The following is a 12165-nucleotide window of genomic DNA, read 5'->3' as shown; positions in this document are numbered from 1 at the left end:
GGTTGTCACCAGAATGTACGTGATCCAGAAGCTGTGTGCCTGTGGCTTTGTTCTTGGTGCTGAGCACTGAGCTTTATTTCCCAATTCATGTTCCTGCAGAAACTGTTTGGCTTTCTTTTGGAATACGTTGGCGATTTGGCTACAGATGACCCACCAGACCTCACAGTCATTGATAAGTTGGTTGTGTAAGTAAAAATGGTGTGTCATCTGGGATGTGGGGTTAAGCAGAACAATTTTTCTCCCATTTAGAGTCATAAAAATACATTCCAGAGTTACTAAGGTAGGTGGAATGATGGTGTCAGCATGCCAAGTGGGCAGGTGGTCACCCAGGGCTTGTGAGCCTCACAGCGCAAGCCGGCTTCTCACACGTGCCGCTCCAGCCACTGTAGAGCTGGGACTGACTTTTAACCACAAACAAGTTGATTTTGAAACAAGTGAACCCCTTTAGATTTGTGGCTGGGATGGGGTGGCTCATTGTAAGTTTCAAGCTCTGGGTGACTGAGCGGTATTTGGAAAGCACGGTAGACACCCCGCCCCTCACCCTTCAGTGAAACCCAGTTGGGTGGCTTTGCATGCCAGGGAGTGTGTACCTCTTGTCTGCATGGGGACCGCCAGGGCGAGCTCCTGCCCTCGTTGCCCTCTAAGGCTGTGTGACCCACTCAGTGGCTCCTGGCCCCCAGGGCTGGTGGCTGGAAGAATGCCAGAGGGGCAGAGTCCTCAGTTGAGAGGCGTGTGTTGGCTTCGGATCCATGAGAGTGCACACCAGCTTCCTGCCCTGTGCCGCGCGGAGCTCTCCACGTCATCTTCTGCATGCATGGAGGCACTATCAAAGAAGTACCTGTCGTGAGGAATAAATGAGTTAATATGGAAAGTGCCTTGGAGCTGTCAGCTGCAGCTGCCACACAGAGTGGTGCCCCCAACAACGTCTGTACCACAAATCGAGCTGTTTCTCCCACCACCTCCAGTCCATAATGTTATGGCCGAGTTTTTAGGAAATGGCAGAAGTGAGTGTAGACTCTTAAGAATGCTGTTAGAAAAAGCGGATTCATCCAGTTCTTACTTGCTCAGTCAACAGGTGACTGCATAGGAAAGTGGCTTGCAGGGCTTTTCTGTGTTTCTTATCTAAAGTCATTCTCTCCTGACTTTACATTTCTGCTTAACAGGCACTTATATCATCTTTGCCAGATGTTTCCTGAATCTGCAAGTGACGCTATCAAATTTGTTCTCCGAGATGCGATGCATGAGATGGAAGAAATGATTGAGACCAAAGGCCGGGCGGCATTGCCAGGGTTGGATGTGGTAAGCAGAGTTCAGTCTAGGCACTGCCCCTGCCACAGAAGTTCTGTTTGGCATCACAGAAGGTGGACGACGGGTACGATGCTCTTGGCTGTACCCTGTGCTTCCAGGGTGATGTGGAGTGAGCTGCACGGCAGCGAGGGTGATCTGGAGTGAGAGTGCACGGCAGTGAGGGTGATCTGGAGTGAGAGTGCACGGCAGTGAGGGTGATCTGGAGAGTGCACGGCAGTGAGGGTGATCTGGAGAGTGCACGGCAGTGAGGGTGATCTGGAGTGAGTGCACGGCAGCGAGGGTGATCTGGAGTGAGAGTGCACGGCAGTGAGGGTGATCTGGAGTGAGAGTGCACGGCAGTGAGGGTGATCTGGAGTGAGAGTGCACGGCAGTGAGGGTGATCTGGAGTGAGAGTGCACGGCAGTGAGGGTGATCTGGAGTGAGAGTGCACGGCAGTGAGGGTGATCTGGAGTGAGAGTGCACGGCAGTGAGGGTGATCTGGAGTGAGAGTGCACGGCAGCGAGCCTGGGAGGGGAGGGCACTCCTCCACTAGCCATGGACTAACGTGTGGGTCGTGCAGGGAGATTCTGGTTTGATTCCACGTGAATGGTGCTGTATTTGGTCCAGTGACAAAAACATTGGAAGGCAAATAGAACCACGGTATTGTCCTTAAGGGCCCAAGCCTGTGGGCTGGTTTAAATTGGTCTCGGTTTCTATGTTATTCAAAGGTTGGGAGACATTTGTACGCTGAGATTTTTAACAATTTTATAACAGCCTCATGCTGTATTTTCAGCTTTAGTAACTTTAAGGAAATACTTGCTGAGATACGCTCTTTATTCTGTTGCCTGGTGTTTGTGTTGAAATGGATTCACAATAGTTAGCAGAAGCTTAAAAATGTAGGACTTAGGTTAGTGATTTTTAATCAACTCCCCAAAACATGATCTGAGCCCGTGTCTATAACCATTGTTGACTGCTTTGAAGTCTTCATGGGCCTCAGTGTCCTCACTGCACGTTTAGCTGGTTGACCCACGGTGGTTGGACGCCTGTTCTGTGACACTGAGGCCAGAGCTCTGGGCCAAGGAGATGCACCCTCTCCTCGCCAGATCCTGTTCTTGGCTCCGGAGTGTTTGCGGGGAGGGCATATGGATGGACTTCATTTACCTTCTTTAACCTGTGGTAACACTTTCTTTCCAGCTCATTTATTTGAAAATCACTGGGCTGCTATTTCCAACTTCCGACTTCTGGCACCCAGTGGTGACCCCTGCCCTCGTGTGCCTCAGTCAGCTGCTCACCAAGGTGCGTTCTCTCCACATGCGGCAGGGGTCGGCCTGCTGCACCACGGGTGGCCGGAGCCACAGCCCCTCGGGGCCTTGTGGAACATGAGTGTGGCTGTTTAAGGGCTGCAGAGACCGAGCACTGCGGTTAGGCCAAAGAGGGCCCATCTAAAAGAGCCCCGGCTCGAGCAGCCCCAGATGTGGGTGGGAGTGGGAGGGCCTGGTTTGGCACCTCAAGGTTACAGATGGTGCTACCCCAGAAAACAACCTTTCAAGTTAGTGGTGAAGTTATCCAGTGTGATGATAAGGGCTTTTGTTCCCTTTTTGGCTTAAAAAGTTCAAGCTGTTCCTTTTTCTTTATTAGGCATGTGATTGGTACATGCTTAGTGCAGTAATCGTACGCTCTGTATGGGTGGAAGGAACTTTATAATCAGTATAGCTCTGGCCAGGCGCGGTGGCTCACGCCTGTAATCCCAGCACTTTCGGAGGCTGAGGCGGGCGGATCACCTGAGGTCGGGAGTTCAAGACCAGTGTGGCCAACATGGCGAAACCCCGTCTCTACTAAAAATACAAAAATTAGCTGGGTGTGGTGCCACATGCCTGTAATCCCAGCTACTCGGGAGACTGAGGCAGGAAAATCACTTGAACCCGGGAGGTGGAGGTTGCAGTGAGCCGAGATTGTGCCATTGCACTCCAGCCTGGGTGGTAAGAGTGAAACTCCGTCTCGGGAAAAAAAAATCACTAAAGCTCTTTATCTTGTTTTCATCTCATTTGATGCTCTCGACACTGCTATAAGGTGCGGGGGTTCCCTCTGTACTTGTGAAGCTCAGTGGGGTGCGTGGTTCATCAGGGAAGCCCGGTGGTCGGCCTAGCATGGCATGACATCGTCCCAGGACAGTAACCCCCCATATGTTCCTTTCCAGTGCCCCATCCTGTCCCTCCAGGACGTGGTGAAGGGCCTGTTCGTGTGCTGCCTGTTCCTGGAGTATGTGGCTTTGTCCCAGAGGTTTATACCTGAGCTTATTAATTTTCTTCTTGGGATTCTTTACATAGCAACTCCAAACAAAGCAAGCCAAGGTGAGTTGATTTGAGGGAGGTTCCTACAAATATGTTATACTTTAGAATTTTTTTAAGTAGTTCATACTCATTGTAGAAAGTTTAGAATATGCGAAAGTAGAGGAAACACACAACCTGCCACCCGCCGCACTGTCTGTCCCTCTGTGTGAGCGTGTGCACGCGCCACATGGGGAAAAGCAGTGCTACCGGTGACCTGTGCTGTCCAGCGTGGTTGCCAGGGGCCAGAGTCTGAACTGAGACGTACCCTACCTGTGACATATGCCCAAGTGGCGAAGACTTAGTGTCAGAAATACTTAAAATATCTTAATTTTTTGTATTATGTGTTAAAATCATAATATTTTGGTATTTGGGGTTAGATAAGGTCTATTGTTAAAATCAATCTTAACTTTTTACTTTTTCTCACGTGACGACAAGGCAGTGTGAAAGTTCTCGTGCAGCTCACACAGGCCGCGCTGCTGTGTCGCTTCTCTTAACGCTCTGAATTCAGGAGCGAGGGCGGCAAGAGCAGTGTTGGGATGAGGAGCAGTCTGCACACTGGCTGCCCTCCTGGGCCCTCACCCCAGCCCCTGTGCTCCTCCCCCTTCCCCTGATGCCAGCCCTGCTCCTGGATGCTTCCTCAGCACTTGCTGCTTCCCTCTGGGGGGTGAGGAGCTGCACAGCCTCTTCCTGAGCTCTTCCATGTCTGTGGACGCCTCTCCCAGCCTGACCAGAGGTTGGACCTCAAGGCTCAGACCCCTGTCCTCTATTTCCAGCTCACCGTGCAGTGCTAAGCGCCTGCATGTCCAGGGGACTGACCTGAGGAGCAGGTGCTGTGGCATCATTCACACCACCAGCAGAGTCCCTTCCAAGAGGGGTCTGGCCCACTCTTCCGGTTCAGTGCTCCCATTCTGCCACCACCTGCCTCCCAAGGCTCCTGTCTGTCAGGCTCGGTGCTGGGCGCCAGAGGGGCGCGGCCGCCCACATGCTCCCTGCCTCCGGGAGAGCCACCTGTAGATAGCTGCAGTCCCACGTGTGAAGGGCTGTGACGGAACAGGCTGGGCACAGGTGGAGTCAAGGAAGGGGTGGGCATCTCGGCTTTGGGGAAGTGTGGGGCGGGGCCTGACCCACGCCTTCCCCTCTCGCTTGGCCCGGCACCTCTGCCCCACTGTACCCACTCTCCACCCCTCCCCGTGTAGCCACACCCTCGGCCTGGATTGCCCTTCTCCGTGGCGAGTGAATTGACTCCTGCGTCCTACAGGCCTTTGCTGACGTCTGCCCCTCAGGCCTCTCCCGCCCTCCACCGTCACCCCCGACTGACTCTCCTGTCTCCCTCCTGCCCCTCCACTTTCCTTTCTCGTGTTCTGTCTGGTCCATTTGCTCCTCTGGGTGCTGTGCACTGCCTGTCTCCCCGACAGGGGCAGGGACTTCAGTCTGTTCCCGGATGTGGCCTGAGCGCCTCATCAGCCCCATGTGTGCCTAGTAGGCCCCAGGAAGTCTGTGGCCAGCAGGCCTCTCAGGCAGGATCAGGCACTTGGCTCTCACCGCGCCCCCTGCCAAAGCTTTTCCCCTCCCCTGAGGTGTCCCTGCCCACGCTGAAACCCTCAGTGTCTGGCACAACCCAGAAACATAAAAATCGGTGTGCGTCTGTTAGAGGGTGAACTTCCACAGGCTCGGTGCCGCAGAGCCTGCTGGGAGCCCAGTAATGTTCAGGCCATCTCTGTCCTGTCGCACTTGGAATTCAGGTTCCACTCTGGTGCACCCTTTCAGAGCGCTTGGGAAGAACTCGGAACTGCTCGTGGTGTCTGCTAGAGAGGATGTGGCCACGTGGCAGCAGAGCAGCCTCTCCCTCCGCTGGGCGAGTAGACTGAGGGCCCCAACTTCGACAGAGGCCAATCACATCCGGTATGTGAGGGGACCCCGCTTTGGGGCCTGTGCCCTACAGCGTCCCCAGAGGCAGGAGAAGCCACTCGTGCTTTCTGATGTGCTGTTCTTAGTGAACTTGCCGCCCGGCCGTTTGGTTTGATGGAGGCCGAAAGCCTTTCTGAGGCATGTTGGCTTGCTGTCCCTTTTTCTTTTCATTTTCAAAATACATTTGCTTGATTTCACAAATCATAATTTGGAACCAAAAATGGAGCCGCCCCATCCCAGCTGGCGCTGCGGTTCCCACAGCCTCCCCTCCTGCGTTAGGCCTGACCCTGAGCCTGCCTTGCCCGTGGTTGCATGGGCCCAACCCTGGCCGGCCAAGGTGGCCACACTGGAGTTTTCAGCCTAGTGGAAGTGGGGAAGTTCATTTTTGCCACGTTATTGGTTTTGTCAGTGACAAACAGAACAAGTTGGACCTCCTCTTGCCTCCTGCCCTCACAGACTGTCCTGCCTGGCTGTGGGCCTGGCCCTGCTGAAGCGCTGCGTGCTCATGTACGGGTCCCTGCCATCCTTCCACGCCATCATGGGGCCTCTCCAAGCCCTCCTCACGGATCACCTGGCGGACTGCAGCCACCCGCAGGAGCTCCAGGTGAGGCTTCCCGGCCACTAGGGTGCTCTGCCTGGGCTCAGACATGTCCCTGAGCTGGGGCCAAGCTGGTGGCAGTCAGTCATTTGATGCTGCAGCTGTAAGTCAACACCATCTTTGCAAAATCACAAATATGAAGGGAAGTAAAATCATAAGAGTGGGCAGTGACGGTGAGCAGTGCTGGGCTGGAGTAAAGCAGATGCTGCATCTCAGGCGGCAGCTGGGAACTGTCGCCTTGTGTGCTTCCTCCAAGAGGCCGCACGGAGGGTGCACCAGCGCCCAGGGGTCAGCCCCTGCCAGGCCTGGACAGTCAGCTCTGAGCCGCGCTCTGCAGTCCCGATGGGTTTTCCAAGGATGGTCTCACTATCCTGCACAAGGTGACAGGAAGCCCCAAGGGACAGTCTCAGCTGGACCCAAGAACAAGTCTTTGATGGCACATCCTGTCCTCTACAGGCTGCTCCAAATTCACCTATGGCCTACCCGCCTCCCTGCCTTTCACCCTGACCCTGACAGGCTGTACCCTGCATCCACTTCCTGCTTGACATGGCTGTGGCTTGTGCCTTTCATCCTGCCCCAACCCTGCCCCTTATTGGCCCGCACCAGCCCAGGATGCTGCTGGAGCCGAAGGCATCAGTGCCATCTCCGCAGCTACCCCCACAGGACCGTCCCGCACCACCAGCACAGCCCTGGCAGCCTTGCCTCGTGCCTTCCCCTCATGCGCTCCGGCCTCCTCGCAGGCCTGGCTTCGTCTCTGGAGTAGTTCTCTGCACCTAGAACTCCCCACAGCCATGCTGCTCGCGCCCACACCCTTGGGAAGCCAGGCCTTCCCTGGCCCACACTGTGCCGTGCTCCCTGCGTTTTGTCTGTGGTGCTGACCCCCGGGCACGTTACACCGTCCTTGTCTCTGCCCCACTAGGATGAGAGTTCCATGAGGACAGCAACTCGGCTCGTTCCGGCCAGGTCCCTGGAGCATAGAGCAGATAAGCTAGCTATCACAGACTCCGTCGCCTGGTCAAAGGCTGATGAGGATGAGATGTGAGCCCTGCCCCTTATCCTGTATCCACTTCCTGCTGGTGTGGCTGTGGCTTGTGCCTTTTATTTAAAAGAATTTGGGTTGGCCTGGCCGAGGGGCACAGCAGGTCTCATGGTCTCGGTAGACTGGGCCAGTCAGGCCCTTGAGTTTGGTCTCCATGGAGACGAGGCATTCCGGCACTCGAAGGTTACATCCACATGGGCCCAGGAGTGGCTGTATCTGTGGGTGCAGCCAGGGTTCCAGGACACACCTGTGCAGGAGAAAGCGGGTAGGACCAACCTCAGTGAACTACCTTTCGGGAGATTCCTCAGAAGCCACCAGCCAACTCTTCTGGAAGCCAAGGTCTTGGTGAAAATGGGTCTTAACCATCTGGTTCTGTTGGCTTGAAAATAAGGTCAAACTGCCAAGACTGGTGGAAACCCTGCCCCGCCTAGCACCCAGCGTCAGTTTGCACACTGGGCTCTAGCATGCACACGGCCCCCCGCGGCAGAAAGGGGTTCTCCTGTGAGCCTTCTCACGAAGCAAGTGGCTCACGGCCTTTCGTGCCAAGTTTGTCTGGGAAAGAGGGGTTCTGTTGACGTTTCTGGCTGTGAGGAGCACAGGCTATGGTGACCTCCAACTCCCCAAGTCCCCTCCTTTCAGAGAGTGCTCTCAGGGGCCAGCCCACGGCCCTCCCTCTTCAAGAAGACAGTGGCTTTACTTCGTTCCGGCTGTGCCAGGACTTGAGCAGCCACAGCCTTGGCTTACCCCCCCGCCCACCGGTAGGCGCACAGCAAGGGCACCATCCTGCTGCAGGGAGCTCGCAGCACTGTCCTCACGCTGCCTTGACACCACAGAACCCGTGCGTGGAGCTCAGGGCACGCAGCAGGTGAGTCATCGCAGAGTCGGGGATTTCGTGTTTTTCAGGAGCTGTGTCAGAGCACACTGACCGAAATGGAAAGCCAGAAGCAGCTCTGCCGGCCGCTGACCTGTGAGAAGAGCAAGCCTGTCCCACTGAAGCTTTTCACACCCCGGCTGGTCAAAGTGTGGGTGCTGGCAGCATCTCCCTGGGAGGCCAGGGCTGTGGGCTCAGTGGGAGCTGACGGGGGGCGTCTGCCAGTTCTGCAGTTGAGCAGATGACTACGGAGTGAAGCCACACTCCCAAGCAGGCTCTGGCTGAGAGGTGGGGACAGACTCTTGCTTCCTTAACAGTGGCTTTCTGGTTGTAGCCTCGAGTTTGGAAGAAAACAAGGCAGTAGTAAGGAGGAACAGGAAAGGAAGAGGCTGATCCACAAACACAAGCGTGAATTTAAAGGGGCCGTTCGAGAAATCCGCAAGGACAATCAGTTCCTGGCGAGGATGCAACTCTCAGAAATCATGGAACGGTGAGGGGGACGTGTGTGTGCGACACGATTGTGGTGTCACTCAGCTTTGGTGCTGTGTGGCCCTGGGCAGAGCACCGGGCACCTGGCATCCCACAGCCTTGGCTCTGGCTGGGGGTTGGAGCCAGGCAGGTTCACTTCCCCCTGTTTGAACTGAACGTGGCCACGGTGGCTAATGTGGTTCTGATGTGGGAGAGAGAGGGCAAGATGCTCTCCAAGAACTAATCCAAAAATGGGCATTTGCCTTTTGTTTCTTTTAGGGATGCGGAAAGAAAGCGGAAAGTAAAGCAGCTTTTTAACAGCCTGGCTACACAGGAAGGCGAATGGAAGGCTCTGAAGAGGAAAAAGTTCAAAAAATAAATTACATTTTATAAATAAGGCAAGGAACTGGACATTACCTCACATCTGCAATTCCAACCCTCTGGGAGGCCAAGGCAGGAAGATTGCTTCAGCCCAGGAGTTCGAGACCAGCCTGGGCAACACAGGAAGACCCCGTCTCTACCAAAAAAACATAAAAATTAGCCAAGTGTGGTGGCACGCACCTGTAGTCCCAACTACTCGGGAGGCTGAAGCAGGAGGACTGCTTGAGCTGAGTCCAAGGTTACAGTGAGCCGTGATTGAGCCACTGCACTCCAGCCTCGGCCACAGTGCAAGACTGTGTCGCTTAAAAAAAAATTTTTTTTTTTGAGACGGAGTTTTGCTCTTGTTGCCCAGGCTGGAGTGCAATGGCACAACCTCCACCTCCTGGGTTCAAGCGATTCTCCTGCCTCAGCCTCCCGAGTAGCTGGGATTACAGACATGTGCCACCACGCCCAGCTAATTTTGTATTTTTAGTAGAGACGGGGTTTCTCCATGTTGGTCAGGCTGGTCTCGAATTCCCGACCTCAGGTAATCCACCTGCCTTGGCCCCCCAATTATAGGTGTGAGCCACAGCACCCAGCCAAAAAAGTAATTTTTTTTAGAGTAATAATGCTATAATGTTGGTGTGATTCCAACCTCCAGCTCCCCCCACCCGCTGCCTGCGGTTTTGTTTCTGTTAAAACGTCACCTGATGAAATAGAATGAATCCTGAAATGCACCTCTGGGATCGGGAATGGTCTGTGTGTTATCAGCTGCGACTGGTTCACTGCGTCTGGACAAGCCTCATGGGGACTGGGGATTCTGGCCAGTGTAATTTCTGTCAACCACGGACGTTTGCCTTCATGTGTAGAATTTACTGTTGTTATGCAAATTATATTTTCAATTATAAATGAAACAAGTTTGCAGATATTTTAGAAATCAGAGAAGGGAAACATCACCCACAGTCCCTCTGCTGGAACAGCCACAGTTGGCCTTGTCCTACTTACGTCCTTCAGTGGATGCTTCTGGGTGCTGGGGTTCTCCATTCAGGACACTGCACTCTCGGAGGTGGGAGGAGACTGGGTTGCGTCTGTGCCGACCTGGGATGCAGTTTCAGGTCAGAATCAGAAGATGTGCAAGTTACGCATGACACAGCTTTTTAAAGTGCTTTTCCCCTGCACTAATCAAGAGGGAGGTCAGCCCTCAGGTGTGCTGGACCCGGGAGGGACTGTGAGCTGTAAGAAGTAACGAGCCCCTTGAACTTCACAAGCTGGCCAGGGAGCCATATCCCGAATGCCACTGCCACTTCCTCGTGGTGCAAGGCTTGTTGGGACCTGCCACCTTGCTGAGGGAGGTGCTGAAGTAGGTGGTTTCCCTGTTCCAATGCGGTATGCGGTCTTGCAGGCCGAGGCATTCCCCAGGGGATGACGGAGCCCCCGCTGGGCTACAAGCCAGGGCAAACACTGAACTTGTGTCCTTAGCCGGCATCCCAGGAAAGAAGGCCGGGGTCAAGTTCACACCTCATGAGATCACAGTGACCAGCCCTGCCCAGGCTGCCCTGGTACGTGCCTGAAGCATCGCGGAGGTCACATCTAGCCACGGTGACCGTGGTGAGATGTAAGGATTAACCAGACTACGACTGGGGAGGTGAGGAAGGTGACAAGGACCCAGTTCCAGCTTCTAACGGGGTGTGGGATCTTTGAGCAAGGAAGAAGATGCTAGGGAGAATGAGTCTGGCTTTGTTCTTGTTGGGAGGTGTTCAAGCCATGGCTGGACCAGAGCATGAGCCATCCTCAGTGTGAGAGGCAGTTACTGCCGCGGTTGGGCTGCCTGGTAGGCCTGGAGCTCAAAATGAGTCAGTCTCTCTCTGGAAAGCGCAAGACAGAGACAGCGCTGGTGGCAGCTGGGCTGAAGCCAGCAGCTTGGAGATGAGGCTCAGGCCCTGACGGGGGAAATCTTACCCAGCCTCCCCAGATGGCTCAGAGACAGGTCTGGCAGGTGCACGGATCCACAAATCTAGAAGAGTCTGGGGTTGTCACATCCACCAACTAGGCTGGCTGTCTATATACACTTTGTCACTGTGTAGGCCCAGGATTTCACCCATCTACAAATTTTCTCTGCCACACGGCTACTGCCACTTTAATTCACCAAGCCAAGCCTTTGCACTCAGGACCCTGGCCCAACCCTCTTTGGCCAAGCAAAGAGGAAACGAGAACAGGACAGAAAAAAAAGTGGGACCGGACCAGGCACCTGGCTGTCCATTGAGGCCTTGCTATGCGATCCAGGACGGAAGGTGCCGGCAGCAAGCTCATACACTCTAGCTGCGTGTCATGTCATTGAAGAGGGCGCGTGATCCAGCTGGAAGGGTGGATAAAAGTGTAACTGCCCAGTGGGTTCACCTTCCCTGTTACCTAGACAGCCAATTTATCAAGAAAGGGCATTTGCAACAGAGAAAAGGTAATTCACGCAGAGCTAGCTGTGTGGGAGACTGGAGTTTTATTATTACTCGGTCTCCCTGAGCATCTGGGGTTTGGAGTTTTTAAAGATAAGCTGGTGGGTGGGGGGCAGCCAGTGAGTCAGAAGTACCCATTGGTCAGGTCAGAGATGAAATCACAGGGAGTCGAAGCTGTTTTCGCACTGAGTCAGTTCCTGGGTGCCACAACATCAGATGAGCCTGGGTGGTGCCAGGTGACCCACCAAGTGCTGATCTTAGGCTTTACGATGGTGATGTTATCGCCAGGAGCAGTTTGGGGAGGGTCAGAATCCTGTAGCCTCCCGCTGCGTGACTCTTCAACCGTAGTTTCTAATCTTGTGGCTAATCTGTTGGTCCCACAAAAGCAGGCTAATCCCCAGGAAAGGTTTCCTTTGGGAAAGGGCTGTTATCATCTTTGTTTTAAACTAAGTTCCTCCCACAGTTCAACCTGCGTGCAGCAGTAAACAAGGAGGGCATGGAGGTTAGAAGCAAAATGGAGCTGGTTATCTCACTGTCGGCAAATTTTGCAATGGCAGTTTCATAGAGATGCCTGTCCTCTGGGAAAAAAGCTAATAACAGGTTGTCTTTTTGGCTGCAGGTGGAAAACTGCATCTATTAGGAAGAGGTGGGGCTTTGTTCTTACCCACAATTGGAAGTTCTCTATGGAGTAAAGGCGGTATGTGTGCCACCTGATTCCTTTCCCCATGTGTATCTGGTTAGGGTCGGCCACGTGAGATCCGCAAGCATTTTAGAAGGTGGGAGGGGAGGTGGGAGCTGGCTACAGGCCAGGCGTTGGCGTGGTTCCGTGAGTGTGCTCCAGCCAGGCCCAAAGC

General features: G+C 54.2%; 1 protein-coding gene and 1 long non-coding RNA gene across 5 annotated transcripts in view, besides 5 other annotated features; one reads left to right on the top strand and one right to left on the bottom strand.

Annotated features, from left to right (window-relative positions):
- Positions 1–1076: part of an enhancer, noted in NCBI's record as "BRD4-independent group 4 enhancer chr4:2948362-2949561 (GRCh37/hg19 assembly coordinates)", that runs on past the window's edge. NCBI's record gives its function as "activates an origin of replication core promoter dependent on BRD2, P300/CBP, MED14 and CDK7 cofactors, and independent of BRD4, by STARR-seq in HCT116 cells {active_cell/tissue: HCT116}" and the evidence as "EXISTENCE:reporter gene assay evidence [ECO:0000049][PMID:35650434]".
- Positions 1–9775, top strand: part of NOP14 (NOP14 nucleolar protein) — a 25471-nt gene extending 15696 nt beyond the window's left edge. The window contains exons 10-19 of one of the 4 annotated variants that reach the window (NM_003703.3): positions 100–185; positions 1164–1299; positions 2482–2583; positions 3485–3638; positions 5360–5519; positions 5982–6129; positions 8066–8184; positions 8368–8523; positions 8781–8899; positions 9523–9775. In NM_003703.3, coding sequence (NP_003694.1) covers positions 100–185; positions 1164–1299; positions 2482–2583; positions 3485–3638; positions 5360–5519; positions 5982–6129; positions 8066–8184; positions 8368–8523; positions 8781–8880 — 1161 coding nt within the window. In that variant the 3' untranslated portion in view covers positions 8881–8899; positions 9523–9775. Of the gene's footprint in view, positions 1–99; positions 186–1163; positions 1300–2481; positions 2584–3484; positions 3639–5359; positions 5520–5981; positions 6130–8065; positions 8185–8367; positions 8524–8780 lie in introns of those variants that run through there. The other 3 variants (NM_001291978.2, NM_001291979.2, XM_047416338.1) reach the window with 3 other exon arrangements.
- Positions 1–12165, bottom strand: part of NOP14-AS1 (NOP14 antisense RNA 1) — a 15533-nt gene extending 3368 nt beyond the window's left edge. The window contains exons 1-3 of the long non-coding RNA NR_015453.2: positions 9569–12165; positions 8919–9018; positions 591–838 (exon numbers count right to left, since the gene is read on the bottom strand). This is a non-coding gene — a long non-coding RNA (NOP14 antisense RNA 1). The remainder of the gene's footprint in view (positions 1–590; positions 839–8918; positions 9019–9568) is intronic.
- Positions 9917–10336: an enhancer, noted in NCBI's record as "active region_21204". NCBI's record gives its function as "activates an Ori minimal core promoter by ATAC-STARR-seq in GM12878 lymphoblastoid cells {active_cell/tissue: GM12878}" and the evidence as "EXISTENCE:reporter gene assay evidence [ECO:0000049][PMID:35858748]".
- Positions 10807–11046: an enhancer, noted in NCBI's record as "active region_21203". NCBI's record gives its function as "activates an Ori minimal core promoter by ATAC-STARR-seq in GM12878 lymphoblastoid cells {active_cell/tissue: GM12878}" and the evidence as "EXISTENCE:reporter gene assay evidence [ECO:0000049][PMID:35858748]".
- Positions 10807–12048: a biological region, named in NCBI's record as "P300/CBP strongly-dependent group 1 enhancer GRCh37_chr4:2937390-2938589".
- Positions 10849–12048: an enhancer, noted in NCBI's record as "P300/CBP strongly-dependent group 1 enhancer chr4:2937390-2938589 (GRCh37/hg19 assembly coordinates)". NCBI's record gives its function as "activates an origin of replication core promoter dependent on BRD2, BRD4, P300/CBP, MED14 and CDK7 cofactors, with strong dependence on P300/CBP, by STARR-seq in HCT116 cells {active_cell/tissue: HCT116}" and the evidence as "EXISTENCE:reporter gene assay evidence [ECO:0000049][PMID:35650434]".

The sequence above is a fragment of the Homo sapiens genome, chromosome 4 (assembly GCF_000001405.40).
Source record: "Homo sapiens chromosome 4, GRCh38.p14 Primary Assembly".
NCBI classification, from domain to species: domain Eukaryota; kingdom Metazoa; phylum Chordata; class Mammalia; order Primates; family Hominidae; genus Homo; species Homo sapiens.
This window is presented reverse-complemented; position numbering and strand designations above follow the sequence as displayed.